Source organism: Homo sapiens, chromosome 16 (genome assembly GCF_000001405.40).
Source record: "Homo sapiens chromosome 16, GRCh38.p14 Primary Assembly".
NCBI classification, from domain to species: Eukaryota; Metazoa; Chordata; class Mammalia; order Primates; family Hominidae; genus Homo; species Homo sapiens.
In genome coordinates, this window is record NC_000016.10 from 6,004,035 (window position 1) to 6,018,678 (window position 14,644).

The following is a 14,644-nucleotide window of genomic DNA, read 5'->3' on the forward strand; positions in this document are numbered from 1 at the left end:
GCACGGTGATTAAGAATATGTACTCTAGGATAAATAGCTAATGCATGTGGGGCTTAATACCAAGGTGATGGGTTGATAGGTGCAGCAAACCACCATAGCACACGTTTGCCTGTGTAACAAACCTGCACGTCTTACACATGTATCCTGAAACTTAAGATAAAATAAAATTTTTTTTAAAGAAAATAAAAAAGAATACCTGCTCTACAGCCTGACTACCTGGCTTTGCCTGCAGGCTCTGCTGCTTATTACCTGGGTGACCTTGGACATTTCACTTAGCTTCTCTAAGCCTCAGTTTTCTTATCTGCAAAATGGAGATAATATTTTATCCATTGCATAGAGTCATAATGAGGGTTTACATAGTTAATATTTGTAAAGATTTAGGAAAGTGTACATAGGAAGCATTACTGAAGCATTTGTGAACTTAAAAAATGGGTCAGTGTGATATGCCTGATGCAATACTTGGCATATCAGAGACTTTTAGTCTATGGCCACTCAATGAATGTCCAGAAGGTTTTAATGATGGGAATATAAACACAGATTTCTGCAGCTTCTTATATGCTATTCATTTAACATGCACTCTCAAAATAATGGAAGCCTTTCATTTTATTTCTCTCTCCAGAATGGTCTATTTAATGCCCCTTGCCTTGAGATAGTGTCTGACTTTAGAGGTCCTCATCAGGGTATATTGATACTCGGCCCTAAGATTGTTCTAATAAGCTTTATTGACTTGGTGAACCTCGGAGTACTTTTTATTGACATGCAGTGTAAATCATTCCATCTGACATTTGAATGTCCTTTCTGAGAAACGTATTAGACCTTAGGTGGAATCCTGAGCTGCTGGTGATGTGTGCATTTCTTAGTCAAGCGTGCAGTGTGTTAGATGAAGATGTCACATGCACAGTCTTGTCTTAAACCAAAATCGGATGAGGGAAAGGGTCATGAAATTTGTTTTGTTGCTAAAAAACAAAACAAAACAAAACAAAACTTGGGGGAACTTTAAGAAGAGAGTGTGTTTTAATGGGAGTGTAAATATTTCCTCTGTCTTTAGAAATTATAAAAAGCCAAGAGTCCATTTCTTAATACCAGGAGCATGAGACACACAGACAGTAATAGATTTGCTGAGAAAGTCACATGACTTCAAATGCGGAAGTTTATATTTCGTTCAAATGTATTCGTGGAAAGAGGGGAAAAACACCCTGCAGCTGAAATTTTCTAATACAATAGCCATTTAAGGAATGATCACACCTTCCAGGAACTCCATTTCTTGGATAATGTTTCATAAGCCCATCTGGACACTCATTCCCTTATGCAGTCATTCTGCCAATGTTTGTTGAGCATCTGCTATGGGCCAGGCACCTGCTAGAGCTGGGAGCACATTGAGAAATGCAACAGTGTCCCTGCCCCCAAGGAGCTCATGGTCTAGCTGGGAAGATACAGAAATGATTGGTGTAATACAAGGCATGAAGTGTTAGGTGATACAAGGGTTTTCAACTTTGGCAGTGTTGACGTTCTGAGCTGGGTCATTCTTTGTTGTGGGGCACTGCCTCTGTGTTGCAGGATATTAAACAGCCTCCCTGGCCTCTACCCACTGGATACCACAAGCATCCCTTCTCCAGTCATGACAACCAAAAATGTCTCTAGACATTGCCAAATGCCCCTGGGGGAAAAACATTGCCCCTGTTGAGAAAGTCTGTTCAGTAGAGATATTTACACAATTTGTTAGGAAAAGAGCAGCTGATTCAGCCAGGAGGAGTTGGGTGGATTTTAAAAAAAGGCTAATGGCATTTGAGCTGGGTCTTGAGTCAGGTATATGGCTCAATAGGTGATGAAGTAGAAGTTTAGCATGCCAGGCAAATGGGTGCAGTGGGATGACAGAAGAGACTATTTAGAGACGAATGTGTCATTCTTTGTGGGTGAAATCAGACTGTATAGCAGACAAGGCTAGGAAGGCAGGCTTGGGCCAATTCATGGAGAGTCTTGTATGGTAAGCAAAGATGTTAGAACTGGATCCTATAGGTGGTGCAGAGGTTGAGAGGCAATGAGGTTATTCATTAGATAAGTGGTGTGTTAACATTTGTGTTGTATTGCCTAATTACTTGGCTGTTTAGCATCTGTATAACTTTGCTGGTAATAGCACCCGGTTTCCTACGGGGAAATCACCTCTCCTCCCTTCTCAGACCAGATAGTTCAGGTGGGGTTGAATCTGTACTCTGGTTCCACAGATGTGGCTGGTCAGAGGGCTGCATCCACCAAGTCACAGTGATGGTTCAGCCCCGGGTATGTGATCCCATCTGGACCAGTGAGTGCACACACAAGGATTTGTTTGAGCCCTACTGTAGGGAAAAAAAAAAAAGGAAAAAAATGTTCTCCTTCTGCTGGAGTTAGTAGTCAGTAGAATATTACATGCCAGTCTGTGCCTATTGGAGGGCATTTTGATGCAGTAACCAGAGAACCTGCCAACGTGGACCATGACACAGAAGAAAGAAAGAAGAGATGGAGACAGAAGGGTCCTCACTGATGAAGCATTTGGCTCCAGCATTGCCTAAAGCCAGTTTTCCTTATAATTATTACACCTGTGTGTCCATAAATCCCATTTTCAGCTTCAACTAGTTTGAGTTGAGTTTCTGTCACTCAGAAGGGGAAGAGAGAGACCTGACAAATGGAGTGTTTTAAAATATTGGTCTTGGATATGTGGAGAGTGGGTTTTCATAATACCAGCTAAAGCTGTTGTTCAAGGCCAGACAAGAGGCGATAAGATACAATGAGTGGAAATGAGGGGAACCTAAGAGGATTGTAGGAGGGAATGAGAGTTTAATTGGGCATATGTTGAATTGCATGCTCAGCACACAAGCTCTTTTGTCACATGGGTCCGCCTTCTCTCCCCATATTTTTTCTCCCATATCTCTGCCATCCATGTAGGATTATATCTCACTGGAACCAAGCTTTCTGGGAATGGGGATGTGACAATATGGATTTACCCTCTCTCCCCATCCTTTTCTTCCGTATCTCTGCCATCCATGTAGGATTATTTCTCACTGGAACCAAGCTTTCTGGGAATGAGGATATGACAGTCACCCTCTAAGATGGCACTAAATGATCCCTCTCTCCTGGTATCTGCAGTCTGTGTAATCTCCCTTTCAGCTTGGCGTGAATGAATTGATTCACTTCCCATAAGTGGAATAGGACAGAAATGATGAGATATCACTTCCAAGACTGAGTCATAAGAAGAAGTCAGTTTCCCGCTTGGATGCTTGCTCTCCTGCTCTAAGGGGATCCAGCTACCACATCCTGAGCTGCCCACTGGAGATACTAACATGACAAGGCACTGAGGGTGACCAGTAGCCTGAAGCCCCCAAGGAACTGAATCCTGCCAGTAGTCACATGACTGAGCAGGCAGCTGGATCCTTCTTCAGTCAGGTCTTGAGATGAAACTGCAGCCACAGTTGACATGTTGATTCCAGCCTTGCCAGAGACCTTGAACGAGAGGTACCCAGTAGAGCCATGCTACTTACTGACCCATAGGCACTGTGAGTTAATGTTTCTTGTTTCAAGCTGCTAATTTTTGGAGTAAACAACACTAGCAAGAGATAACTAATACAGTGGATATTTTGTTTCCACTTTAGTTTGCGTAAATAGTAGGCACTCAATACATACTTGTGGGATGAATGAACAGATTGATTATAAACAGCAGCCCCAGAAGCCTGGAAGATAGCCAGGCGATGACGATGTGTTTTGAGCTGGAGATATGGGTATGGGAACTTAGCCAAGAGGTGAGGGATGCACAGAACTTTGATATCTAGCAGCCGTGGGGACATTGATGACATCTGTAGGAAGTGATTTAGGGGAACTCGTGGAGAACGCAGTGGAGAGGAGTATCATTTAAGAAAGGTGATATGGGCCAGGTGCAGTGGCTCACATCTGTAATCCCAACACCTTAGGAGGTTGACTTGGGCAGATCACTTGAGGTCAGGAGTTTTTCACCAACATGTTGAAACCTCATCTCTACTGAAAACACAAAACATTAGCCAGGCATGGTGGCATGCACCTGTAGTCCCAGCTACTCAGGAGGCTGAAGCAGGAGGGTCACTTGAACCTGGCAGGCAGAGGTTGCAGTGAGTCGAGCTGGTGCCACTGTACTCCAGCCTGGGTGGCATAGTGAAACTGTATCCCCCCCACCCACCCCCCAAAAAAAGGTAGTGTGTAGGCAGAGTGAATAAAGAGACAAGAGGGATGGAGCAGTTCAGAAGCAGGAAGGTGGCCAGGAGTGTGGTGTTCCTGAAGCCACAGAGAGCTGCCAGGAGATTGTTAATACATCCTATGATGAAGAAATAGCAGCTGGGATCCAGGAATGCACATGGGCACGGCATGAAGAAGATACTAAGACAGTAGCTTTAGTGGAGTGGTGTGAATGGGAAATGGCAGGGGGTCACCAGAAGGTGGAGAAACTGGAGGTGATAAATGTGGATTACCATTTTCTAAAAGCTTGCTGGTTAGAGGCACATCCAAATCAAGATTGCGGTTAAGGTTGAGGAAGAGTTGAAGGAGCTGGAGTCATATCCCAGAGCTTCAGCATGTGTATATCCTGACAACCAGGGGAGTTTGAAGATGGAGCAGAGGGAAGGGTTAACTGTTGGAAAAAAGAACCCAGAGGAAAGATGGACACAGCACCCTGGCAGAGCGTTTAGCCTTGGCACAAAGAAGTGTGTTCAGATAAGTACCTACGTTTTGGTTCAACATCTGTCCTGTGCTGTTCTGTGTTCTCCGTGAACTGCTCCAGGAAAAATGTGGTTGCTTTTATTGCCAAGTTGCTTAATTGCCTTACGGAATAATGGCAAGCAAGCTCGTCTTAGAGCTTTTGAACACAGAGACGAATCAAAGCAGGAAGAGGTAGAGAAATCAAATAGACGGATGGCTTTCTCATTGACAGCCTCTCAAGTTGGCTACCCCTTCTTTTATTGGTCTATTAATGGCTGCTGACATCTGTGAAATGCCTTTTCGACTAAAAATGGAGAGGGATGCAAGAAAATTCTACGTGCTATCATAAGGCATATGGTTTGTCTTTTACTTTTTTTTTTTTTTTCTTCTCCATCTTGTCCATTGTAAAAGAGCCTCTTGTGCACACGGGTTCACAACATTCTTCAACAGTGATTCCAGGTCCAGGATGACTGCCACTTCGTGGTCTCTAAAAAAGACCTACCAAAAAGCCACGATGGTACCTCATTCCATTTTTCTACCACCTTAAAACTGCCAACTCATTTTCACGTGGTTGCACTTTGCTCTCACACCTGTGAGTCAAGTAGGGCTTTGATACAAAGAAGCACGTTCCACAGGGCTTGACTGCCTCCAGTTGCCAGTCTGGGACAAGAATTTCTGATGCCTAATTTGTTTATTTTTCCTAATACATTACATCACTGTTTCTTAGTCCTAGTTATGGCTCCAGGGACTTAGAAATGGCACTTCCTGAGTGTTCCCATGGGTTCCCTGCAAAATACCTGTAGATTTTAATATATTTATGGTGCATAATCAGTGCTTCAGAGACAGCCCTGCTAACAATTACCTCCTTTCTGAGAGCTTGAGAGCACAGCAAGCAATCATGTTTTCAGAGAAGGGAAATATCCATGCACAAAGCCCTCAGATCTTAAAATCACGTTAAATCCCTCCTCCCCCCACCTCCAAGCCTATCCACAAGTTATTCTGTTGTTGGACAAAATGCACTGATATTCCTTATCAGGCATTTGGAACATCTGTGACATGGGGCAGTGTGTGTATGTGTGTGTGTGTCTGTGTGTGTGTGTGTGTGTATAGGGGGATTTGAAAATTCAGATTCCCATTCTCATCCTATACTTCCTGAATCAGAATCTCCAGCATGGAGCCCAGCATCTGGATTTTGATAAGCATTACAGATGAGTCTTACATACACTGCAGTTGGACAGCCACAGCACATTTTGACATTCCGTCAGTGGAGCTCCATGGATGAGGAGAGATACTGGGGTTTTTCTTTCTTATCAGGCACGTGGCTGCTGCAGGAAAGCTAACAGTTTCCCTTCTTTCTTCCTGGGGACATTAAGAATACTGAGGGTGCTGTGTTGCCCCACACCTCGTATCCCCAGGTGTTTTCTGCTAACATGCATGCAGGCTGGACTTCCAAATCTCAGCACCTGACAACTCTCTTTGGTCGCTGAATTCTGCTCAACCCATGTCCAAGGAAGGCTGTAAGTGGTATAGGATTAACACCTCCCCTCCCCAGGATAACCAACCGTCACCAATAAGTGATGGAAACTGGTGAATGTACATTCCAGCTCCCTTGCCCCGGGGTGGGGTTGGGTGAAAACTCTGGGGAGTATGTTTTATACTAGCTCCAAGAAGTCTTTATTTGGAATAATTTCCAGGTACCCACAGTGGTAACTTGCTTGAGGACATTCTTTTTGTTGGCTTCTGTCTCTTCTCCATTTACTTCCCCACTCCTGGCCATTGGGCCATTGTTTCCTGGCTTCACCTCCCCAGTTCACTACTGACATTCAAATACTTATCTCATGGTCGACTTCTGGAGGAAGCAAACGGAGTGTCCGCTGATTAATGAGCAGAGCTTGTTGAGCCACCCCTAAAGCAATGGTGTAGAAGAACCCTATCAGAGAAGGCTGAAGTGGATGTAAACATGCTTCATGGAAGGGAGTTCAGTTTTGACTAAATTCCCAAACGGTATCCGTTAGATGTTTATGTTCAGGTTCCAGAATCCAACATTTTATCCATTTATTTATATTGCCCTCATATTATCTACTTTATAGTCCTAAAAGACATTCCCAGGGATTGTGATTTTTTTTCTTTAGTGGTTCATGTGTCTTAATCGAAGTATAAGGAATAAATAGAAATAATAAATGTACAAGTGGAAGCACAGAAATGTAAATTATGTGACTATAATTTACAGGTATTTTACTTCTTGGAGCATCTATATCCCACCAGTAACCACTGCAAATGCATACTCTTCTTTGTAAGGTTGCATATTTCATCCTAAATGGCTTAAATATCTTTACTTATCCATTTGTAATAAAAAGACTAGGACTTAAAGTTAAGTGCATTTGAAAGAAATCGATTGTCAATACTCTGTGCTGCTAATAGAGGGAACATTTTCGCCCCTGAGGTGTTAGTACATTAAGGCAAAGCTATGTATGTTCTGATTATAAATTCATTAACTATTTACACCTCATTGACTCGCAACTTTTTTTGCCTCTTGATAAGTCTCATTTTTAACCTTCATGGTTGACTTTAGATGGAGCTATTTAAAACAGCCTTTGTTTTTACAAAATGATTTCTAGTGGAACTTTAGAAAATTTACAGAGTGTTTTTTTTTTATTGGCCTTTGGATCCCCTATACATAAACAGAGGTTTTGGGTATATCAGACTGTTAAAGATTTAAAAACGAAGTCTTGAGCTTAAGTTTGTAAGCTTTGAAAATTTACTTATTTTCCTCTGAGCCTCAGTTTTCCTTATCTGTAAAATGGGAATAGTACTACAACTGCCGTGTAGGCTTCTCTGTAGTTAAAGGTCATGTCTCAGGCTTGGCATAGAGTATGTTCTCAAAAATATTTTTATTTTTACTCTTCTGCACAAGTCCTAAACGGGCATGTAATGACCTCTTGCTGCTCCAAGCAGCAGCAGTATGAAGCTTGCATGTGTCTCCCAATTTACCATCCATCAGTGAGTGAGCAAAGCTGGTGACCACTTTTTGCTAATGACCACGCACGCTGAGGACTTGCGCTTACTCTCCAAGTTGGAGACGAGGAGGTTGTGATCAGGTCTGGGTTATCATGGACAGTGGTGATCTTGTCATCTTTGTTAGTTTGAGGTAAAATGGTGTTGGCTGGAACACTCAGCCCAATATGAAGCATGAGAGGAGTGAACTACAATATTTGTAAGGTGGCATCGCCCACACCATCTTGCATTTCTTCACGATGACCCTGTTGTATGGCTGTTCTGAGGAAGTCACCACTCACTTCCACAGAGCTGTTACCCTGTGCCAGGCACAACGGTGAGAAATTTCTCGTGGATTCTGTCATTTAATTCTCCCGACAATGCTGGTTGAGAAGAATCATCACTGAGCTGGATTTGGATCCTAAATTAATTGCTTACTACCTTGGCGACTGTGAGCAAATGTCTTCATTTCTCTAGACCTCATCTGTAGAATGAGGATGGTAATCTGGTTTACAGTGTTGTTATGAGGACTCAATGAGAATCTGAATGGAGGTATAGACCTAGTGCCTAGTGCATAGTAAGGCTAAATGTATGCTAATTGCTATTCATATGTTACTATTAGTAGTTCTGTTACCACCACCACTATCGCCATGTTGGTGAGGATGCTTTAGAACAGTGGTTCCTACCTGGGAAGATTTTGCCCCTTGGGGAGCACTTGGAAATATCTGTACACATTTGGGAGGAGTACTGGCACTTAATGGGTAGAAGCCAAGAATACTGCTGAATATCCCACAGTGCCCAGGGAGTCCCTCCACAGCAAAGGGTTATTTGGCTCAAAATGTCAGTAGTGCTAAGTTTAAGAAACCCTGCTATAGGCAATATGTCATCTTCAACAAGCTAATGCAAAAAGGGGATGTGTCATCTCATGGAACAGGGAATGCAGCAGTATGGTAGTTTTGGAAGCCCGTTGATTTAGCAGCTTCACAATTTCCTGGATGTTACTGGTCCTTTATTCTTCCCTGCCCTGCCATCTTCAGTATTAATTTGTCCTCAGGCTCATTGCAAGGTACCTGTAGGGGGGTCCAGAGGTCAAAATCCCATGAGAAAACATCTGGAAGTAAAGAAAAAAATGTATTTTCCTGTGGCTTTCACTTGGATAAAGGAAATGTTTCCTAAAATGTGATAACAATCTTCTAGATCACGTGACTGGGAACCTATGACAGTTCCTGAAGCAGTCATTTACAAGGAGAATAGTTCACATATTTGGAGATGGGAATCAACTGCACTGTCCATTGTATTAATAGTAACTATTAATATGTTAATTATATCATCATCATCATCATTGTTGTCATTGTCCCCATTTTATGTACAGGGAAGTGAATAGTGATGTTTTTTAAAAATCTTGTTTAGCTCACATAGTTATTAAGTAGTAGATATGGAATATGAACGCAGGCTGTCCTACTCATGAGCTCCGTTCTGTTATTTCTAAAAGATGAATGATAGTATGTTTCATAAAGTTATACTAAATAGCATATAAACAAGCCTGCCCTAAATCAAAGACACAGCTTAGTTTCTACTTATTATTAGCCAAGAAATTAAGAATTTTTACTTGAATCTGATGAAGCTCAAAATATTTGTTTCCAAAGTGTTCTTTATATAGGCAGGCTCCCATTTGGTGCTGCAGATTACTGAACCTCCCTTTGTATTTTTTTACTCTAAGACCAATTGGTTAGGAATCTCCACCCTCATGATCATGAATCATTGACATGATTCTAAGCCTGGCTACATGGAGATGAGTCCTAGTAAACAAAAAGACAAGCTGTATCATGATTTATGTCTCATGAACCTGGCTCTGACACAAAACTGACTAAGTTTTGAGTCCCACTCTAACCACTAGCCAGCTCTGTGAGGTTGGGCAAGACACTGAATTTCCTCCTTTCAAGCTTTGGTTTGCTCATCTATTTAAAAAGGAAATAATTTTTTATGGCTGCATAGTATTCCACGGTGTATGTGTGCCACATTTTCTTAATCCAGTCTATCATTGTTGGACATTTGGGTTGGTTCCAAGTCTTTGCTATTGTGAATAGTGCCGCATGGATGAAGCTGGAAACCATCATTCTCAGCAAACTATGGCAAGGAAAAAAAAACAAACACCGCATGTTTTCACTCACAGGTGGGAATTGAACAATGAGAACACTTGGACACAGCAAGGGGAACATCACACACCGGGGCCTGTTGTGGGATGGGGGGAGGGGGGAGGGTTAGCATTAGGAGATACACCTAATGTTAAATGACGAGTTAATGGGTGCAGCACACCAACATGGTACATGTATGCATACGTAACAAACCTGCACGTTGTGCACATGTACCCTAAAACTTAAAGTATAATAAAAAAATTAAAAAATAAAAAGGAAATCATAATGGTACTTACACTGTGAGGACTAAATGAGATGATACAATCAAAGAGCTTATATAGTAAATACCACATGCTTGTTGCTTTTGTAGCTGTTTTTGTTATCATCATGACCATTGCTTAAGGTGCTGTCTTTGCTACCATTAGTATTTTCTCCATCTTATTAAGGGGATGAAGGCAGGAGAGGAAAAGGAATGAGCCCAAGTAGAAGAGGAAAAACTATCATGTTTACTATTTCAAAGACACATTGAAACAGAGTGCAAAAGTTGCTGTCTTTTCACAAAAAAGAGACCTCATCTGTGGACACCAGATAGCTCATTCTCAGTATTAAATGCCTTGGTTAATATCAAAACCCTGACCTACACGATAGATGGTGAGTGAGTTCAAGCAATCAATAACTATATATTGAGTATCTGCCATGTGCCCAAGGACTGAGGGGGGAACAGAGAATATAAGGTGCAATCCATTCCCCTGTGGTCCTCAGACTGACTGTTTTAATTAGTTCATTAGTTGACTCCGTTTGTGAGAAAGCCTTCAGGTAAGTCTGAAGACTGAGAACTTGTGGGCAAAGTAGGTCTTATATAATATTTAAATTGTGCAAATCATGTTATTGAACCCAGAGTCATTTATGGATACATTTGAGTATTGTATCAACTCTTCTGTGACTGCTATTGAAAGGTATCCTTGGGAGGAGGAATAAAAGGATGCTTGGCTACTTGATTTTTTTTTTTTTTTCTGAGACCAAGTCTCACTCTTTTGCCCAGGCTGGAGTACAGTGGTGTGGTTGCAGCTTTCTGTAGCCTCAAGCTCCCAGGCTTAAGCAATCCCCCCACCTCAGCCTCCCAAGTAGCTGAGACTACAGGTGCACACCACTACGCCTGGCTAATATTTTAAATTTCTTGTAGAGATGGGGTTTCACAGTGTTTCCCAGGCTGGTCTCAAACTCCTAGGCTCAAGCAGTCTGCCCACTTCAGCCTCCCAGACTGATGGGATTACAGGTATGAGCAAGAGCCACCACCCTCTGGCCTTCTTAGATTTTTAGATCTTAGATTTTTTTAGCTTGCTTTTTTCATCCTTTTCCTATTCTGTTTAATATATCACTGATAATCTCTTAAAAATCCTAGAGTACTCTGGAGTAATCTACAAATCCCTGGAATTCACTGGATGTTTACACTGACCTTCTGGAAAAGTTATTAAACAAATATAAGATAATAATGGAGAAAATGGTCATTGAAACATCAGTGAAGGCAGAGTGAAGCCCAGAGCACTGGCAGTGGAAATCATTATGGTAATGGTGCATCTTGAAAAGCTAACCAGTCACTCTCCACTGCCTGTGGTAAAGCAAATACGCCTTACAAATCATTTCAGAGCCTGCCTTGGGCCTTCCCTAGCCCATATCTTTAGTTCCAGCTTCTACTCTCTTGGCTCTTTCACCATTGTCCAGCCCCTTAACTTCAACAGGACTCTATTTATATTGAACAGATTTGCTGTTCCTAGAAGGAGCTATGCTGTTTTGCTTCAGGCACTTTCATAAGCTGTATTCTCCTTCGGGAATATCCATCACCCAACTCTCTGTGGAATTCCTATTTATCTTCTCTATTTAGACACGATCTTCTCTAGAATGCTTTGCCTGACCTTCTGCCCTTCTGCCATATCTGGCTATAGGCTCCTGCTCCGTATTGGCCAAATGTTTCAAGACAGTTGCAATCACTCATTTATGTGTCTGCATATGCTATTGGACTGTACGCTTCTCGAGTGCAGAAATTGAGTCTAGTTTATATACTAAATGGTTTACATGGGGGACTAGCCTCAAGAAGGATGCATGTTTGATGACTGAAAGAACAAAGGACTACATAAATGGATGAGCAGGTTGACTTCTCATTTCATTCCAAAGTGGTTAGCCCATTTAGACAGCAATCTACTGCAGGAAAGAAGGAAGGTTCACCTATCATTTATTGAGCTTATTATGTGGCTGGTGCTGTGCATCAGGGAACAAATCTTTGATGTAAAGACCTTTTAGTTTAATAGAAGAGAACAACATTTACAGTAAGCTGAGACAAATGACAGGGTAAAGGTAAATGGAGGTGTTAGAGGAGTTCGCAAGAACACCTTATCTGTGCCTATGGGGGGCTGGGTAGGGAGTTGAGGGATTGGCAGGGAGAAAGTGATATTGAAATGGAGATCTAAAAACTAAACAGAAGCTATCCAGGAAAAGAGAGTATGTAAGGGTATTCCTGGTTGGAGGAACAACATATACAAAAGATTGGATACAACAAGAGAAAAGCCCTCCTGGGTCACAGAGTGAACTTAAAAAGAGCCAGGAGCTGGTAAACCACATGGACAACTTTAGACCTTATCCTGGGGAATAATGAAGAGCTATAGGAAGATCCTAAGTTTTAAAGTAAGATGATGAAATTTACACTTTAGAGAGCTCTCAGCCAAGCACAAGGCTACAAAGTCCTTGTTCTTTTTAAACCAGCTTTATGAAAGGTACCATTTTTGACATTTGCTTAGATCACAAATTGGAAAGTATTTTTCATGTCCAGTAGGAGGAGCCAAAGTCTCCAGGTTCTTTCTAACCATAGCAGGGCGATTCTTGGCCCTAGGTTGTCCTGGGAGCTGTCAACTTCAGCACCTCTCATTTATCTTCCAGTGGCTCAACATGGAGAAATGACAGGAAAAACTCTACTTGGAATGCGAAAGGTCATTGTGAGAAAGAAACTAATACTTTCCAAATGAATAGCATAATGGCATGCCATATTGATCTTTACTCTAATTTTGTTTTAAATTGTAATGGATGCCTCTCACACTCATATTCTTAAGCCATGTAGCAATACAGGTACCAGTGAGTCATGCCTGACACTCATCACTAATCTATCTAAGCCTATTTCTACTCTACAATAAATAAATCAGAGCAGACTCAAGCTGAACTTGATTTTCAGATAGATGAATATGTTTTATTTCCAATGGTAAATATATATATGTATTAAAAATAATCAAAGGGCCCAGCAATTACCCATTTTAATGTAACAACAGCTGATGTTACTGCCTTGAATGATTGCATTCATTTGTTCCTTTCTGGAATAAAAAATGAAGGAGAATAGACAAACAATTCCTGTTGGTGAATTTGCACAAAACAGTATATTCCAACAGAATTTCCCGTTAACTGCCATTTATTTCTTCTATCATTATTGATAATTTGCTTTTAAATTGAGAATACCTCTTTTACAACCCATCTCATCTCCCTGCATGGCTAGACAATTACATTTAAATTCGGCGGTTTTCCCATTGTGAACAGTTTCTGGGGGAAATGATTATGATGTTACCAACCCAGATTTATGGTTTCATTTTGCTATCACTGAAGGATGAGACTAGTATAAAGAAAAAAAAATTGCTTACATACAAATATATTATTATCAAAGAGAATCCTAAGGAAACATATGGTAAAAATCAACCCAAATTGCAAAATCGCTGGGACCAATGATAAAGATATCTTTCTGGATTTTGCAAACTTACTTTTTCAAATGATGATTAAATATTGCGTGCTTTAAAAAGTAATATAGTTATAGGCAGAAGTTCCCTTTCTTTTATTCTGAGGTTGAAAGAAACCGCAGCCCGATAGGATTGCAAGAGGAACCCTTAAGGAATCTGCTCCTTGATGGGCGCTAGGAAATACACGTACATCTAGTACAAAGGAATGCACATCACATGGCCCCCTGTTTTGGAAAGCTTACAGCATTTCTTATAAGAGGATCCATGGTATAAGTGCAAACACAGTCACATCACAGGATGGGAAAATGAACAGGCGCCTCAGATCAAGTGCTCAAGGCTGGAATCTGGCCTTGTCCAATGCCACCTGCCCTTCAGAAGGCAGGGTGGTGCCACATAAAATGAGGTAGACTGCCTGGGGAGTCCTGGTTCCTTGCCAGCTATGTGACCTTGAACAAATTACAACTCACTGAACCTCAGACTGACTTTATTGTACAACAAAACCCCCTGGAATATTTGTGGAAAAAAGAGGAAGGGAGAAAGGAAGGAAGGGAGGAAAGGAGGAAGGAAGAAAGGGAGGGAGGAAGGAAGGGAGGGAGGGAAAGGAAAAGGTAGGGGAAGAGCAGAGTTTCTCACTCCAGTCCAGAGTGGGACCCAGGAAGGGAGAAATATTGCTTTAATCTCTCTAAGCATCTGTGAAATGGATAAACCTCCAGTATCTACTTCCAGTTGTTGAAAAGACTCCATGTAAAGTGCTTAAAACAGCATCTGGTGGAAAGTAAATGCTTATTAAGTGCTAGTGTGTATTAAGGCGTCATGGGGCTTCTGGCTGTAAGACATCTGCTAGGAGGACAATCCCTAGACCCCTTCAGCGTCCATTGCGGGAGTAGGTGGCCAGGAAGGGGGCAGGACAGGAGAGGCCCAGCTGTGCGGGGTGGGGGCGTCCCAGGCCAGCCGCACCCACCCCAGCCCTGCATCCCATCCAGCCTGGAGAACTTTTTGAATCTTGGATAGGGCTCGATCTCTGCCTGGCCGGAAGATTTGAAGACTTGC

The 14,644-nt window shown here is 41.9% G+C and overlaps 1 protein-coding gene across 4 annotated transcripts in view; it reads left to right on the top strand.

Annotated features, from left to right (window-relative positions):
- RBFOX1 (RNA binding fox-1 homolog 1) overlaps positions 1–14,644 on the top strand; it is a 2,473,620-nt gene that overhangs the window by 764,314 nt on the left and 1,694,662 nt on the right. The window lies entirely within an intron of this gene.